The sequence below is a fragment of the Homo sapiens genome, chromosome 11 (genome assembly GCF_000001405.40).
Source record: "Homo sapiens chromosome 11, GRCh38.p14 Primary Assembly".
Classification (NCBI taxonomy): domain Eukaryota; kingdom Metazoa; phylum Chordata; class Mammalia; order Primates; family Hominidae; genus Homo; species Homo sapiens.
The window spans coordinates 121,523,932-121,539,841 of NC_000011.10; the positions used below are offsets into that span (position 1 = coordinate 121,523,932).

General features: G+C 39.2%; 1 protein-coding gene across 1 annotated transcript in view; it reads left to right on the plus strand.

The window, feature by feature from the left end:
- Positions 1-15,910, plus strand: part of SORL1 (sortilin related receptor 1) — a 181,450-nt gene that overhangs the window by 71,618 nt on the left and 93,922 nt on the right. Inside the window, exon 12 of the mRNA NM_003105.6 lies at positions 8,533-8,621. Coding sequence (NP_003096.2) covers positions 8,533-8,621 — 89 coding nt within the window. The remainder of the gene's footprint in view (positions 1-8,532; positions 8,622-15,910) is intronic.

The window sequence follows — 15,910 nt, forward strand, 5'->3', positions numbered from 1 at the left end:
AATAAAAATACCAACATTCATTTGGCACCTTGCAGTTCACAGAGGCCTGTCACAAGCCTTCTCTCACTGTGGCAGGGCTTCCCATCCCTCCCGAGGAGAGAGATGAGGCTCAGACACTGTGTACTGTATGTGGTGAACGCAAATATGTGTTCAGATGAGGCAGATTGTTAAGGCCATTGTAGTCAGAGTGCAAACAGTTTGAATGGAAATTTTCGGGTTGTCCTTGTGCAGCTCCCAAGGGAAGATTAAGCAGCTGCTTTCCCCTTTCGTGGAGCTGGACGCTCCCTTTGAAATGGGGTATCCTCTTCTCTGCGAATAGGCCTGTGGTTTGTTTGTGCCTTCTGCTGTTGGTGTAATCTGGGATTTGCACATCTGCAAGTGATTTCCTTCTGGGTAGAAAGCAGTGTCTTGTTCCTCCTCCAGTGAAGTGGTATCGTCTGGTGATTACCGGGGCAGCTGTCAGTGCCTCCCTCCACACGTGCCTTGTCCCTGCCAAGAAGCAACCAGTGCATAAGAGACCTTATTTTGGGACATAGCAGAAAACTAACTTGGGGATGAAAAGATTGTGAGTTTATCTGTGTGAGTGGGCATCTGAGTCCCCATGGGCAGCCTTCACTTTAGAGGGACAATCTGGGCTGTGTGCAGGAGCAGGTGGTGGCAGAGGAAGAGGCTGTAGTGGACAGAATGTTGCCTGGAGCACTGATGACTGTAATTGTGGTTTTCTTTTTCCTCCTAATTAGTTGTGCAAATTCTCTGATCCTCAGAATTCCTTTTTTTGTGCTTTTTTCTCTTTTTAAATAATTTTTATTTCTTTTATTTTTAGCTTTTTTCTTTATCAACTTTATTGAAGCAGATGAAGGCACAGTACACTGCACATATTTAAAGTGTACAGTTTGATCAGAATTAATTATGGTCACCACAATTAAGATAACAAACATTTCCATCTGCAAATTCTCTGATCCTCAGAATTCCGTTTTTGTGCTTTTTTTCTTTTTAAAATAATTTTTATTTCTTTTATTTTTAGCTTTTTTCTGTAACAAATTTATTGAAGCAGATAAGGGGACAGTACACTGCACATATTTAAAGTGTACAGTTTGATCAGAATTAATTATGGTCGCCACAATTAAGATAACAAACATTTCCATCACCCTCCCCGAGGTATCTTTGTGCCCCTCGGTAATCCATCCCACTCTCCAGTCTTGTCCTTGTCTGCTTCTGTTATTCATTGGCATTTTCTAGAATAGGTTATTCATTGGCATTTTCTAGAATTTTGATAAGTGGACTCACACAGTATATACTCTTTTTGCCTGGCTTCTGTCACACATCACGATGATTTTGGGTTTCATCCAAGTTGCTTTGTGTATCAATTGTTCATTCCTTTGCTAGTTGTATCCCATTGTAGGGATATATCATAATTTATTTATTCATTCATCTGTTGATAAACATTCCAGTTTTGCTGATTACAAATATAGCTGTTATGAACATTCATGTACATATTTTATTCATTTCTCTAGGGTAAATACTTAGGAATGGAATAGCTGGGTAGCATGGTGGGTATATGTTTAACTTTTTAAAGAACTGCCAAATTATTGTCCCTTTTACATTTCCACCAAACAGTATGTGAGAATTTTAATTGCTTCACATCTTTGCCAACACTTGGTATGATTAGTCTTTTTAATTTTAGACATTTTAATAAGCATGTGATAATATCTCATTGTAGTTGTAATTGGCATTTGTGTGATTATTAATGATTCTTTTCATGTGCTCATTGGCCATTTTAAAATCTGGTTGTGAAGTATCTGCCCAAATCTTTTGCCTTTTTGAAAAAATTGGGTTGGTCCAGCACAGTGGCTCTGCCTATAATCCCAGCACTTCGGACGGCTGAGGTAAGAGGGTTGCTGGAGCCATGGGCAACATAGGGAAAGCTTGTCTCTACAAAAAATAAAAATAGCCAGGCATGGTGGTGCATGCCTGTAGTCCTAGCTAGTTAGGAGGCTGAGGTCAGAAGGTCACATGAGCCCTGGTGGTTGAAGGTGTAGTGAGCTGTGATTGTGCTGCTGCATTCCAGCCTGGGCAATGGAATCAGAGCCTGTCTCAATAAATATATAAATAAATTTTAAAAACTAATTTTAATAATTGAGTTGTCTATCTTCTTTGAGTTGTAGGAGTTTTTTTAAAAATATATTTTGGATTCAGGTCTTTTGTATGATATATGGGTAGATACTCATTTTTTCCATATGGAGATCTAATTGATTTAGCACCATTTATTGAAAACCCTTCTCTCTCTCCCATTGAATTGCCTTGGTACCTGTTTGAAAATCAATTGGCCATATATGGGCCAATTTTAGGCCAATTGGGTCTATTTCAGGTCTTTATTCTGTCCCATTAATCTGTCTGTCTTTTCACTAATACCAAATTATCTTAATTTCCAAAGCCTTATAGTAAATGTTGAGATCAAGTAGGGTAAGTCCTTCAACTTTGATTATTTTAAAAATCTTTTTTTATTATTGTAGGTCGTTCGTATTTCCTGATACATTTCAGGATCACTTGTCAATTTCTATGGAATCTGCTGGGATTTTTATTATAATTGCCTTGAATTTATAGAATCAGTTTGGAGGAGAATCGACATGTTAATACTATTGAGTCTTCTGATCCATGAATGTAGTATCTTTTTCCATTTCTTGTTCAATTTCTCTCAGTACTTTGTAGTTTCCAATGTAGAGGTCCTGTACATCTTTTATTAGCTTTATTCCTAGGTATTTTAATTTTTTGTGGTATTACTGTAAATGGAATTTTATTTTCTAATTTTTGCTCTAGTATATAAAAATACAACTGATTTTTTATATATTCATCTTGTATTCTGTGACCTTGCTAAGGTAATTCATTAGTTCTAGTAGGTTTTTAGATTCTATGTAAGCAATCATACCATTTGCAAAGAGTGACAGTTTTATTTCTTCCTTTCTGATCTTAATGTCTTTTATGTATTCTCTCATTCTTCTCTTCTTCCTTTTTCTCTTCTTTCTTGTCCTTCTTTCTTCTCTTTCCCTCCTTTCCTCCATTTTCTCCCTTCTGATTTCTTTCATTCTTCTTATCACAATGGCTAGGACCTCTATACAGTATTGAATAGAAGTAGTGAAAGTGGGCATTCTTGCCTTGTTCTCTCTCTGGGGGAAACAATTCAACCTTTTTACCATTAACTATGGTGTTAGCAGTAGATTTCTTTATCAACATTTGGGAAGCTCCCTATTATCACTAGTTGTTGAGTATTTTTTTTTTTATCATAATCAGATACTGGATTTTGTGAAATGCTATTTTTACATTTATTAAAATGATTTTTTTCTATTACTATGATGATTAAATATTACATTAATTAATTCTTGAATATTAGAACAACCTGGAATTACTAGGACAAACTCTACTTGGTCATAATGCATTATTCTTTTTATGTGCAGCTAGGTTTGATTTGCTAATATTTTGTTAAAGATTTTTGCATTATTTGTGAGAGATACTTGTCTTTAATTTGTTTTTTTTTGTAAAATCTTTCTAAAGTTTTGATATTAGTGTTTGGCTAGTATCATAAAACAAGCAGAGGGGTAAACCCCTCTTCCTCTTTTTTAGGACAAAGTTTGGTGTTATTTTTTCTTGAGTAATTCCCTAATGAAACTGTCCAGGCATTGAGTTTTCTTTTTGGGAATATTTTTTGATAAGAGATTTAATTTCTCTGGTTGATACAAGGCTATTCAGATTTTCTTCTTTTTGTTTCAATTTTGATGAGTTGTGTGTTTCAAGAAATTTGTCCCTTCATGTAAGTTGTGACATTTGTTGGCCTTATGTTATCAATGATATATTCTCTTTATCTTTTTAATGTCTGTAGGATCTTTGGTGATGATTTCATTCTTGATATTGGTGATATGTGTATTTTCTCTATTTTTCGTTCGTTTAGGTGTTTCAATACTGTTGATCTTTCCAAAGAATCTGCTTTTGGCTCTTGTTGATTTTCTATTGTCTGTTTTCTGTTTTGTTGCTTTTTTTCTTTATTATTATTTTTTCCCTTATTTGTTTTGTTGTTCTTTTTGTAGCTTATTAAGATATAACCTTGGGTTATTGATTTTATATCTTCTTTTCTAATGTAAGCATTTAAAGCTGTAAGTTTTCCTTTAAGTACTAATTTAGCTATATGCCACATATTTAGATATGTTTTTAGTGTTTTTAAGTTCAGAGTATATTTAATGTCCCCCTTTAAAACTGAGATATAGGCTGCACACAGTGGCTCATACCTGTAATCCCAGCACTTAGGAAGACCAAGGCAGGAGGATCACTTGAGACCAGGAGTTCAAGACCAGCCCAGGCACCATAGCAAAACTTTGTCTCTACAAAAAATAAAAAAATTAACTGGGCATACCTGTGATCCCAGTTACTCTGGGGGCTGAGGTGGGAGGCTCACTTGAGCCCAGGAGGTCAAGGTTGCAGTGAGCTGTGATTGTGTCAGTGCACTCCAGCCTGGGTGACAGAGCAAGACCGGGTCTCAAAAAAATAAAAAAACAGATAAAATTGAGATGTAATTCACATATTATAAAGTTCACCATTTTAAAGTGTACAGTTCATATGTTTTTAGTATTATTCAGTCATCATCATTATCTGATTCCAGAACATTTTCATCAATCCATAAATATCTCTTGATTTTTATCTTCGAATGATAAGTTACTTAGCAAAGTGTTATTTAATTTGCAGGTATTTGGGGGTTTCATAGATATCTTGTTATTGATTTCTAATTTAATTTCCTATAGTCAGAGAAGACACTTTGTATGATTTCAGTCCCTTTAGATTTGTTGAGATTTATTTTGAGATCCAGCCTGTGGTCTATATTGTTGAATATATCACGTGCACTGGGAAGGAATATGTATTAAGCAGTTGTTTGAGGTAGTGTTCTGTAGATATTATTTATATGAAGGTGGTTGATAATGTTGTTCAGATCTTTTGTGTTCATATTGATTTTTGGGGGTTCTAGTTCTCTAAATTCCTAAGAGAGGAATGGTAAGATCTCCTACTATGATTCTGAAATTGCCTCTTGCTCCTTTAAATTCTATCAATTTTTGCTTTATTTTGGTATGCATTTTGAGTCTCTGTTGTTAAGTGTATTCACATTTATAATAATATTTTCTCATGAATTGTCCCTTTTATCATTATGAACTATCTCTCTTTATCTATTGTAATGCCATGTGTCTTAAAATCTATTTTATCTGATATTAAAATAGTTACTGTAGCCTTCTTCTGTTTACTATTTGGATATTACATCTTTTTTTGAGTTGGTGTCTTACTCTGTCACCCAGGCTGGAGTGCAATGGTATGATCTCGGCTCACTGAGACCTCGACCTCCTGGGTTCAAGTGATTCTCCTGCCTCAGCCTCCCGAGTAGCTGGGATTTCAGGCGCTCACCACCACACCCGGCTAATTTTTGTATTTCTAATAGAGACGGGGTTTCGCCATGTTGGTTAGGTTGGTCTTGAACTCCTGACCTCAAGTGATCCACCCACCTTGGCCTCCCAAAGTGCTGGGGTTACAGGTGTGAGATACCACGCCCAGCCCTGGATAGTACATCTTTTAACATCCATTCGCTTTCAACCTATATATGTCTTTATATTTAAAGTGTTTTTTTTTTCTCTTTTTTGAAGTTGGGTCTTGTGTGTTGTCCAGGCTGGTCTTAAACTCCTGGGTTCAAGTGATCCTGCCAAATAGTTGGACTTAAAGGCACATGCCACCATGCCCAGTTCTTTGAAGTGTTTCTTCTAGACAACATATAGTAGGGTCTTGCTTTTTTACTCATTCTGCCAAGCTCTGCTTTTTAACTGAAATGCTTAGGCCATTAACATTTAATATAATTATTGATGTATTTGAATTTAGGCCTAATATTTCATTTATTTTCTTTTCATTTCTCCTATTTATTATTCCTCTGTTCCTTCTGTCCTCTCTCCTTTTGTATTATCTAGATACATTAAGTATTCTACTTTTATTTAGATTTTTTGGGGGGCTTATCTATGTGTATTTCTAGTGACTTCTCTAAGGATTACAACATACATATCTAATCTTTTATAGTCTTCTTTGAGTTGATAATTGCACTTAACGTAAAATTTAGAACCCTTTCAACCATACAAGTCCCTTTTCTCCTCCCCCACCTATATGTTATTTTCATATTTATCACATCAACACACATTACAAAACCCACAAAGCAGTGTTTGTTTTTGCTTCAAATTATCATATGAATTTCAAAGAACTTAAATATTTACCCAGATATTTACCATTTCTCTTGCTTGCTCTTCGTTCTGGAAAAATCTCTGTTTACCCATGGGAAATTTCCCTATAGCCTAAAGAAATTCCTATAGCATTTCCTGTAGCGAGATCTGTTGGCTGTGAATTCTCTTGTTTTTCCCTCTTTTGAAATTTCTGTTTTATTTACCTTCATTCCTGAAGGATATGTTTATTGGATAGAGAATTCTGGGTTGACAGTAATTTTCTTCCAGTACTTTAAAGATGTCTACTGTTTTCTTGTTTCCGTGGGTTCTGATGAGAAACCTCTCTTCACTTTAGCTATCATTCTCCTGTGTGTAACATGCCATTTTTCTCTAGATGCTTTGGAGATTTTTTTTTCATTGGTTTTCAGCAGTTTTGGTATGATGTGTCTAGGAGGGCTTTTCTTTGAGTTTATTCTCTATGTAGATGCTGATTTTGAATCTATATTTATATCTTTCAACAAATTTGGGAAATTTTCAGCCATTATTTCTTCAAATATTTTTTTTCTGCTCCCATCCCTTTCTCCTGTTCTTCTCGGACTCCAGTTACATATTAGACCTACTGTTATTGTTCCTTGTGTCCTTGGCAATCTTTCTTTCTTTGAAATCCTTTTTCCCCTGTATGTTCTCTAGAACACACAGATAGATCTGTAATTTCTACAGATCTATATTTATTTTGAAGTTCACTAATTCCTTTGTCATTGCTTTTCTGATGTTGAGCCCATCAGTAAATTTCTTATTTCGGACATTATATTTTTCTGTTATAAAATTTGTTTGGTTTCTTTTTAAAAATTGTTTCCACTTCTCTGGGAGAATTCTTTTCTCTCATTCATTTCACGTGTATTTTTCTTTCCCTCATGGGACATGGTTATAATAGCTATTTTAAAATTCCAGCCAGGTATGGTGGCTCATGCCTATAATCCCAGCACTTTGGGAGGCCGAGGCAGGTGGAAGCACTTGAGGTCAGGAGCTCGAGACCAGCCTGACCAACATGGTGAAACCCTGTCTGTACTAAAATTATAAAAATGAGCTGGGCGTGGTGGTGCATGCCTGTAATCCCAGCTACTTGGGAGGTTGAAGCAGGAGAATCACTTGAACCCAGGAGGCAGAGGTTGCAGTGAGCTGAGATTGCACCACTGCACTCCAGCCTGGGCAACAGAGTGAGAATTTGTCTCAAAAAATAAAAAATTAAAAAAATATTCCAATATATGGGTCACTTGGGATTGGCACCTTTTGACTATCTTTTCCTTTGAGAATTGGACACATCTTATGGATATGTTTGTATGCTGTATGTTAAGTAATTTTGGTTTGTATTCTGCACATATGAATGAAATTCATGAAATTAAGCCTTCTGGAGGATATTGATATTTTTGTCTCAGCATGTAATCAGCCTGTTTAGGTTCTGACCCTGAGTTCTGTCTTGCTTTCTGTAGGTGGTAGTTTAACTCTCAGTTCAGTATGCTAAGCCTTTGTTACACTGGTTTGTGTCTGTTTCATGCACGTACACTTCAGGGGTTAGGCTGCGACTTGCGTAAGTTCATATACAAAATTAGGGGATTTACTTTTTTGACACTCTCTGCTATGGGATTCCATCCACACTTTACCTACCCTATAGGGGCTCCTTTCTCTGGTTCCTTTGGGGGAAATAATATCTATTGCAGTTTTAGCTGTGACTGAGACTGAGGTGCACCCCATGACTGGGACTTTTCCTTCGGGCAAAGCTTTACCAGGATATTCATGACTTGTGTGTGTAGCTTCTCTAGGTTTTAAATCTCCACAAGCGGCTTGCTTTCGTTTACTTTTCAGCATCCACTGGTAGTTGTTTTTTGTCCAGAGTTTTCAGCTGTAATTAGCAGGAAGGATGGGCTATAGAGGGCTAATACTGTCATAGTAGAACTGAAACCCCAGTTACTTAATTTTTAATCAAGGGTTGGTGGGAGTCATAGATTTGGATTTGAGTCCTACCTCTGCTGTTCACAGTCTACCATTTTAATATTAAGCCCGTGTTTCTTCATTTGGGAAAAAAATTGAGATACTAGAACTTGCTCCACCTGTCCCTAGGATTGTGTGGAACAGATGAGATAATGGATGTCAATGTCTTCTGTAAACGGAAAAATTGTTTTCAAGTGGTTGTCATTGCTGTTATGTCTATGTGCACGTGTGTGCATGCCTGTGGGCATGTGTACATGGTTTCTGCACAATTACCTCCACAGCAGTGGTGTCACCATGGATTTTTCCTCTTCAGGCACTTCCTGGACCTCACTACTACACATGGGGAGACCACGGCGGAATCATCACGGCCATTGCCCAGGGCATGGAAACCAACGAGCTAAAGTAAGTGTCTCTGATGAGGCCTTTTAACATCAAACTTTCTCCCAGAAATTTACGTCTGTGATTATAATTGGATTATCTCTCTATAGCACTATGTTGTTGACAGCACAATTTGTGATCTCTGGATATGAGTTAAACTTTTTTTTTTTTTTTTGAGATGGAGTCTTGCTCTCTCCCCCAGGCAGGAATACAATGGTGCGATCTCAGCTCACTGCAACCTCCACCTCCTGGGTTGAAGCGATTCTCCTGCCTCAGCCTCCTGAGTCTGGGATTACAGGCACCTGCCACCACGTCCGGCTAATTTTTGTAATTTTAGTAGAGACACGGTTTTACCATGTTGATCAGGCTAGTCTCGAACCCCTGACCTCAGGTGATCCACCTGCTTCGGCCTCCCAAAATGCTTGGATTACAGGTGTGAGCCACTGTGCCCACCCCGATTTAAACTCTTTATCTCCCAAATGGGAATATAAGAACCTGTCCTTTCTATCACAAAGGGAGATTGTGAGCAAGAGGGCAATTAATAATAATGGCCAAATAATTAAGTGGAGGCTCTTTAATTTGTCCTTCTTTGCTTTGTGTCTTTATTACATAGAAAGACTAATAATAAATAGCAATAATAATAATAATAATACATCAGTAACAATTACAGAATGCATACAACTTGATAGCCATTGACTTTTGGTGCGTTAGGTTGGTGGGGGGTCTCATGGAGCTGGAAGGGGTGTTTAGGGTTAACTGCATCATTTCACAGATGAGAAAACAGGCTCAGCAAGGCAAAGTAACTTGCCCAGGGTCATTCCCTTTGTTAGTGACAGAGACAGGATTAGCACTTGGGTTTTTCGATTGCGTCCTACATTCTTTGCAATATATTGTTCTGAAAAGCAAAACTGTCAAGAGTTTGTAACCTCTACACCCTTATGTTCTGATTTTATCAGAACCAGTCCTCTGATTACCTTTGGCTCGTTTCTGAATGGTTCATGTTAGGTCAAGTTCATGCTGGACCACACTTCTCCCTGTTTTTGAGCTGAACCCATTAGATGGATTGGTGAAGGATCTGGAGAGGGCTTCTGTAACTCTCTTGTTTATTGCAAGGACAAAGCTTTCTTTTTCTTTGCTCCTTTTAGAAACGGGGCCAGCAGTAAGTGAGAGGTGGGTGGTTTGGAAAAAGAGATCTTAGCAGCTGTTTTTTTTTCCCTGTGGTTAATTTGACATGTGCTGAGCAGCCTGGCCTCAGAGAAGGAGAGAGAAGCAAAGTACTGGTGTTTGGCATTCCACCTGGCTGTTCTCTGTTCTGTGTAGCACTGGTTAGCTATTTCTTTAGAGGTGATACTCCGAAGAGGTCCTGTTTGTGTGCAACACTCTGTATTCATATTCAGATTGGTGTTTGCTCAGACAACGACCATCACAGAGCACAGTACTTCCCACATTTGTGCTATCATTTATATACCCATTAATTTAATTTTCATTTCACATGTTCACCAAGCACCGATTGTGCCAGATGCTGTGTATCTGTAGATGAATAGGATGCCTGCCACCCTGTAGTTGAAAGGTGGGCGACGAAACAATTGTAGTGTTTGGTATACTGCTATGTGTGTAATACGCACGTAGGGGACATAGTTTGGCTTCCTAGGAATACATTTCATTCTTTGTATGGCTTTCAGATTTCAGAGTCAGTTCTCGATTTGCCTTGTTTAACTTCTCTGAAAATTAAATTTGCATTCCAAACTGGCTCCTCTGAAGGAGTTAGTGTGATTCTAGTCCTCTTACACCATCTGTCGGTGCATATGTGCTCAGGGAACGCAGCGTCATTCTGCACGAGCTGGAGCAAAACATGATCAGGAAAATAAACTTGCTGCCAGAAAATCATAAAGCCTTCCCCAGACATTTTGAAATGACTTGGGGGTTGTAGACTTTGGGGGATTATGGTCACTGTAGCATTCCTCTATTTGTATAGGTTTCATTTGGAGGTGTCTGTTTGAATAGTTCAAATAAAGCATTTGAAAATACGAAAATACATACAAGCCTCCTATTGACAGGTGCATGTGTCCCACATAACAACCTGAGCTTGGCCTAAATCTGTGTAGCCACCTGGCATTTACTCAGTGTGTTGTTCACAGAGGTATTTTGCTTCTTCCCCTGCTGCTCTGAAAAGCAAGAAATAATATTCAAGTTAGTTGATATTCTCAGACTACAATGGTGATTTACTGTGACACCCATGCACAAGGACAGGTGGCTTCTGACAAGACTGGATATCTGTTGCTGGGCTAGGGCCTCAGGCCCCTTCTAAGTTTGGCCTCCCCAGTCACAGAGATCTCTTTTCCTTTATGACTCGTAGCATGTATAGGCTGTCCCATTCATTTGGCATTGATCATATTCTGACTCCTTATGTTAGTTACCTTTACATGATGCGCCTGAATTCTGCAACTCGTTAGTAAGGTCTTTGTAGGTAAATATTTCTGCTCGATGTAGGTTACCAGGCACTTAGCAAATATTTGATTGAAATAGGTCATGCATACTTAATCATCCAAGATTGCTTATGGTTTTTTTTTTTTTAACTGATTTATAAAACTAGAGGAGACCGAGCTAGTGTGCCAATTGCACAGCTCCAAGGGGACCACTGCCACTGTGCTCCATGTCAATGACAACCCCTAGAGCACAGATGTGAGTGGAGGCTCCCTGGATGTGTGCAACCCGGTAGTACCCAAGAGACACCAGAGATGACCTAATCTACTTTCCTTAGTTTTCACATGAGGGAATAAGAGATTAGTCAGGAGTTAATGCCCACACTGGAACTTGAGCATATTTCTGTTAGGAATCATTTCAGGTCCATTACACAGACAACTGTCGAACATCTACAATGAAGCGGATGCTGTGCTGGATACCAAGGATGCAAAGGCAAGTGGGGCACTGATCGGGAGCTGCCTGTGCCCACTGTGGCTCTGTGATGTTTCTGAGCCAGATGCAGAGAGAGAGGCTGGGAGGAGGGGGTTGTTTGAAAGAGGGCTTTCTGCTCTGATTTTACTCATCTTTAGGGAGGGAAGCCAAGTAAAGTAGCATTAGTAACTCAAATAGGTTGTAGTGGGGACAGCAATTGAAGCATTGCTCAAAGTAAACATTAGGGTTTTTTTTTTTTTTGGTCGATGTTCTTTTAAGTTATGCATGTCTTTCTCTCCCTGATTAGCACAGATATCTAGGAGTTGACTGTTATTTGTTTCAGCTTCTGCCTTGAGTCTCCTCTGAGACTGTTACCTTTGTTATTGTTAATTGAAATTGAGAGCAAGAAGTGGAACACTTTGTTTTGCTCTTGTGTCTACATGTCTGAAATGGGTAAATAAGAACCTGCACTGGGGATCCACTTATTCGTTCATTCAGCCCGCTGCTCCTGTGAACCTGCTCACGGGAGGCATAGGAGCAGTGGCTTTTTCGTCAGAGAAGGGGCTGTTGCATTTTTGCACCCTGACCGAAGAAGATTCAAACACGTTTGTCAGCTTGATCACGGAAGAGAAGATCAATTTCTGTTTCTTCGCTGCGGTTTGCTTGTCAGCATGATGATATTTTTCGTAGTCAGTAATAATATTTTGAACTTGCCCCAAAGCATCTTTTTTTTCTAAGACATCCAATTTCATAGGGGCTTCTCTCTGGAAATCCTGAAAAGCCCCTGAAAAGACTCCACGCAGCAGAGCAGCTGTCTTTTCTGGACCTGGGCTCTGGAAGCAGCCCCACAGTTCCAGAATGTGGGAGGCAGTGGTTAATGTCTTCACTTGCTTGCAGCGCCTCTCAATGGTACAGTTGTCGGGAGAGCCACCCCTACTTTATCCTAACCCCTGTGGTTTTTCTGCCCCTTGAGGTATAGAGAAGCAGGTGTTCTTATCACTGTGTTTTTTTTTTTTTTTTTTTCTGGAGTTCAGTGGTGCGATCTCGGCTCACTGCAACCTCCTCTTCCCAGACTCAAGCGGTCCTCCCATCTCAGCCTCCCAGTAGCTGGGACCACGGGCAGGAGCCACCATGCCTGGCTAATTTTTATATCTTTTTTTTTTTTTGGTAGAGACAGGTTTCGCCATGTTGCCCAGGTTGTTCTCATTTGAACTCCTGAGTTCAAAGTGATCCACCTGCCTTCCTAAGTGTTGGGATTACAGGTGTCAGCCACCAAGCTTGGTCTTTATCACCTTTTAACTGTTAAGAAACCGAGAAACGGAGTTGCAGTGCAGTTTCTTTAACTTCCTTCAACAAGCGTTTATGAATAATGCCCTTTCTGTGTGCTAGGAAAGATTCGAGGTGCCAGGGGCAGAAAAGTAAGAGGTCTTATTCCTGATGAACGGCAATCCAGTAGAAAACACTCGCAAAATCAAGTCACTGAAATACAGTGAGGTATAAGATTATGGAGAGCGCTGGGTGCGGTGGGAGCCAGAATGAGGGCCAGGTGATGCTATCTGGGGGACAAAGGAGGACTTCTGAGAGAGGAAACCCCAGCTGAACCTAAAAGGATACAAAGCAAGGTCGGAATGCTTTTCCAGGTCTAGAGAGACCTTGAGCAAGGGCCAAAGCATGATCAGTGGGGAATGTGCACGGCTCTTGAGTATTAATAGAATGCAAATTTCCAGGTGGGAAGTAGTGAGAAACGAGGCTGGAGGAAGGTATCTATGTAGAGGCCAGGTCCTGGGGGACCTCACCTGTGCCTTACTAAAGAGATTAAAGTTTGCTTTGAGGTGATAGGGTCCCTTTGAAGGATTTTAGTAGGGGAATGACATGGCTAGACTTGCATTATAGAATGATGGATCTGGCAGAATGGAGAGGATGGATTCAGTGGAGAGAGACTGGAGGTGAGAGCTGATGCTGGGGTGTGTTTGAGGACTAAGTCTGCAGGGCATGGTTTCTGATTCACCTGGGATGATGGGAGAAGTGATTATACCGCTCATAGAAAGGCAGAGGTAAAGGAGTAGGCTTGCAGGGCTGTATATTAAATGCAGACATGGACAGGTTGAATTGAAGCCTCTGTTGTGGGTCCAAGGGGCGATGTCCAGCAGGAATCTGGACATATTACAATATCTGGTGCAGCCTTCCGCCACCCTTTGCAAGAATTTTCTCCGTGCCATCTGTGATAGACAATCTTTTGTTCTATACTTGAACATTTCTATTAATGGGGAATTTGCCATATCAAAAGGTGCTTCCATTTTACTTTGGGACAGTTTGCTGTTCATTTGTTCACTAATTCATTTGTGAATTAAAGTTCTCTGGTAAGGGAGAGCCCAGATTCTCCTCCCTCCAGCTTCTATTCGTGGACTTTGTTCTGCTCCCTGGAGATGCACAGTAGATACTTCCTTTTGCATGAAAGCCTTTCAAGTATTTAAGGACCCTGTCATGTTCTCCTGAGTGTCTGCCATTTCATGATGAATATCCTCGGTTCCTTTCCTCATATTCTATAGATCCTCAATCTCTATCTTCTAGGTTCTCCCTTAGGTCTGCCTCACGATGTCAGTGCCTTAAAATGTGGTACCTGGATCTGGCCCCAATAGCCTGAAACATGCAGAAGATGTTGAGATTTTGTCTTCATGATTCTGAACACTCTGTATCTATTAATAAAAACCTCTGACAGTGTTTCCATTTTTAACAGCCATCTCAAACTGGTGGCTCCTATTTTTTTTTTTTTGAGAGGAGGTATCATTTGCATACCACAGGATGCTCAGATATTGACTACACCATTTAATCAGTTCTGAAGGGTGCATGTCAAGATGTAGAGTATTTCCATCAGTCCAGAAAATACTCACGTGCCCCTTTCCAGTCAGTGCTCTCCACCCCCAAACCCCTGCCCCAATTACAGGCAACCACTGGTATGTTTATCACTGTAGCTGCCTATTCCAGAATTTCATGTTTGTATGTTTTGTATTTGGCTTCTTTTACTCAGCATAATGATTTTGAGATTTATCAATCTTTTAACTGGTATCAGTAGGCTGAGTTCACTTTAACTAAAATACCTGAGATCCTTCTTTCTTATGGATCTTATTATACAATCAATCAATCAACAGGACGGATGTTCCCCGTCCTGTATTTGAGCAAACAGGTTTTTGAAACTACATGTGGAGCTTTATTTTTATTTTTGCTTATTTTTTTTTGGTTTGAATTGTATTTTTGGCATTTATTTATTTTTTTGAGACAGAGTCTCACTCTGTCGCTTAGGCTGGAGCACAGTGGTGCCATCTTGGCTCACTGCAACCTCCGCCTCCCAGGTTCAAGCGATTCTCCTGCCTCAGCCTCCCGAGTAGCTGGGATTACAGGCATGCACCACCACGCCCAGCTAATTTTTATATTTTTAGTAGAGGCGGGGTTTCACCTTGTTGGTCAGGCTGGTCTCGATTTCTTGACCTTGTGACCCGCCCGCCTCAGCCTCCCAAAGTGCTGGGATTACAGGCGTGAGCCTCTGTGCCTGGCCCCGGCATTTATTATATTATTTATACAATTAGCCTTTTACCCTTTGCAAATTTGGCAGATTCGCCTTCCAGATCCCTATCCAGATCATTGACAGATGTGTTGAGCTCTGTGAGAACTAGAAGTCTTATCTTGGGTTGAGATCAAACCATACGTCAGCACTCTTGGGATGTGCTTATTTTACCATCAGTGAATTTTATCTGACTGCGTGGTCCACAAAGATCTTCATGAAAAAAAGAATGTTCTGTGTCATTGTCCTGTTTTTCAAATCAAGAATTACCACGAGGAAAGGAAATGGAGTTAGTCTGTTGTGACTTGTGTGTGAAACCATTTGGGTTCTTAGCCTTGACCTCCTTTTCGTCTGAGTGCTCTCAAATAAACTGTTTCATAATCCATTCTTGAAACCACCTTTTCTTCATTAAGGAAATAAAAGTATTTTCCCTATTCTAGTTTTTGAGATCTTTGTTCTTCATAATTCTCCTAGAGATTATTGAAAAGGATGCTATAATCATCCTATCTTTAAGTCTTTCAGTTCCTTAGAATTTATTTTGTACTGATTTTCCTTTAACTTAAATGGTTTTTCTTGTCCAATTTGAAGATTATTTTCCTTGATAAAGATAAAAGCAAAATAGAATTTTTTTTCTATTTTTTTTAGACCCAGCTTTACTACTATGTTGTTATTCAAAGATTTTTTTCTTTTTTTTTACTAACGAAGTCTTTATTTCTTTTGTTTTCAGCTTTCCAATCAGCCAGAAAACATAAAGTATTTTCAATTCAAAGTTCTAGTAAAGATAGGAAGAACTGGGTGATGGTTTTCATAAATGAATGAATGAATGAACGAATGGATGAATGTGTATCAAGTGCTCTGT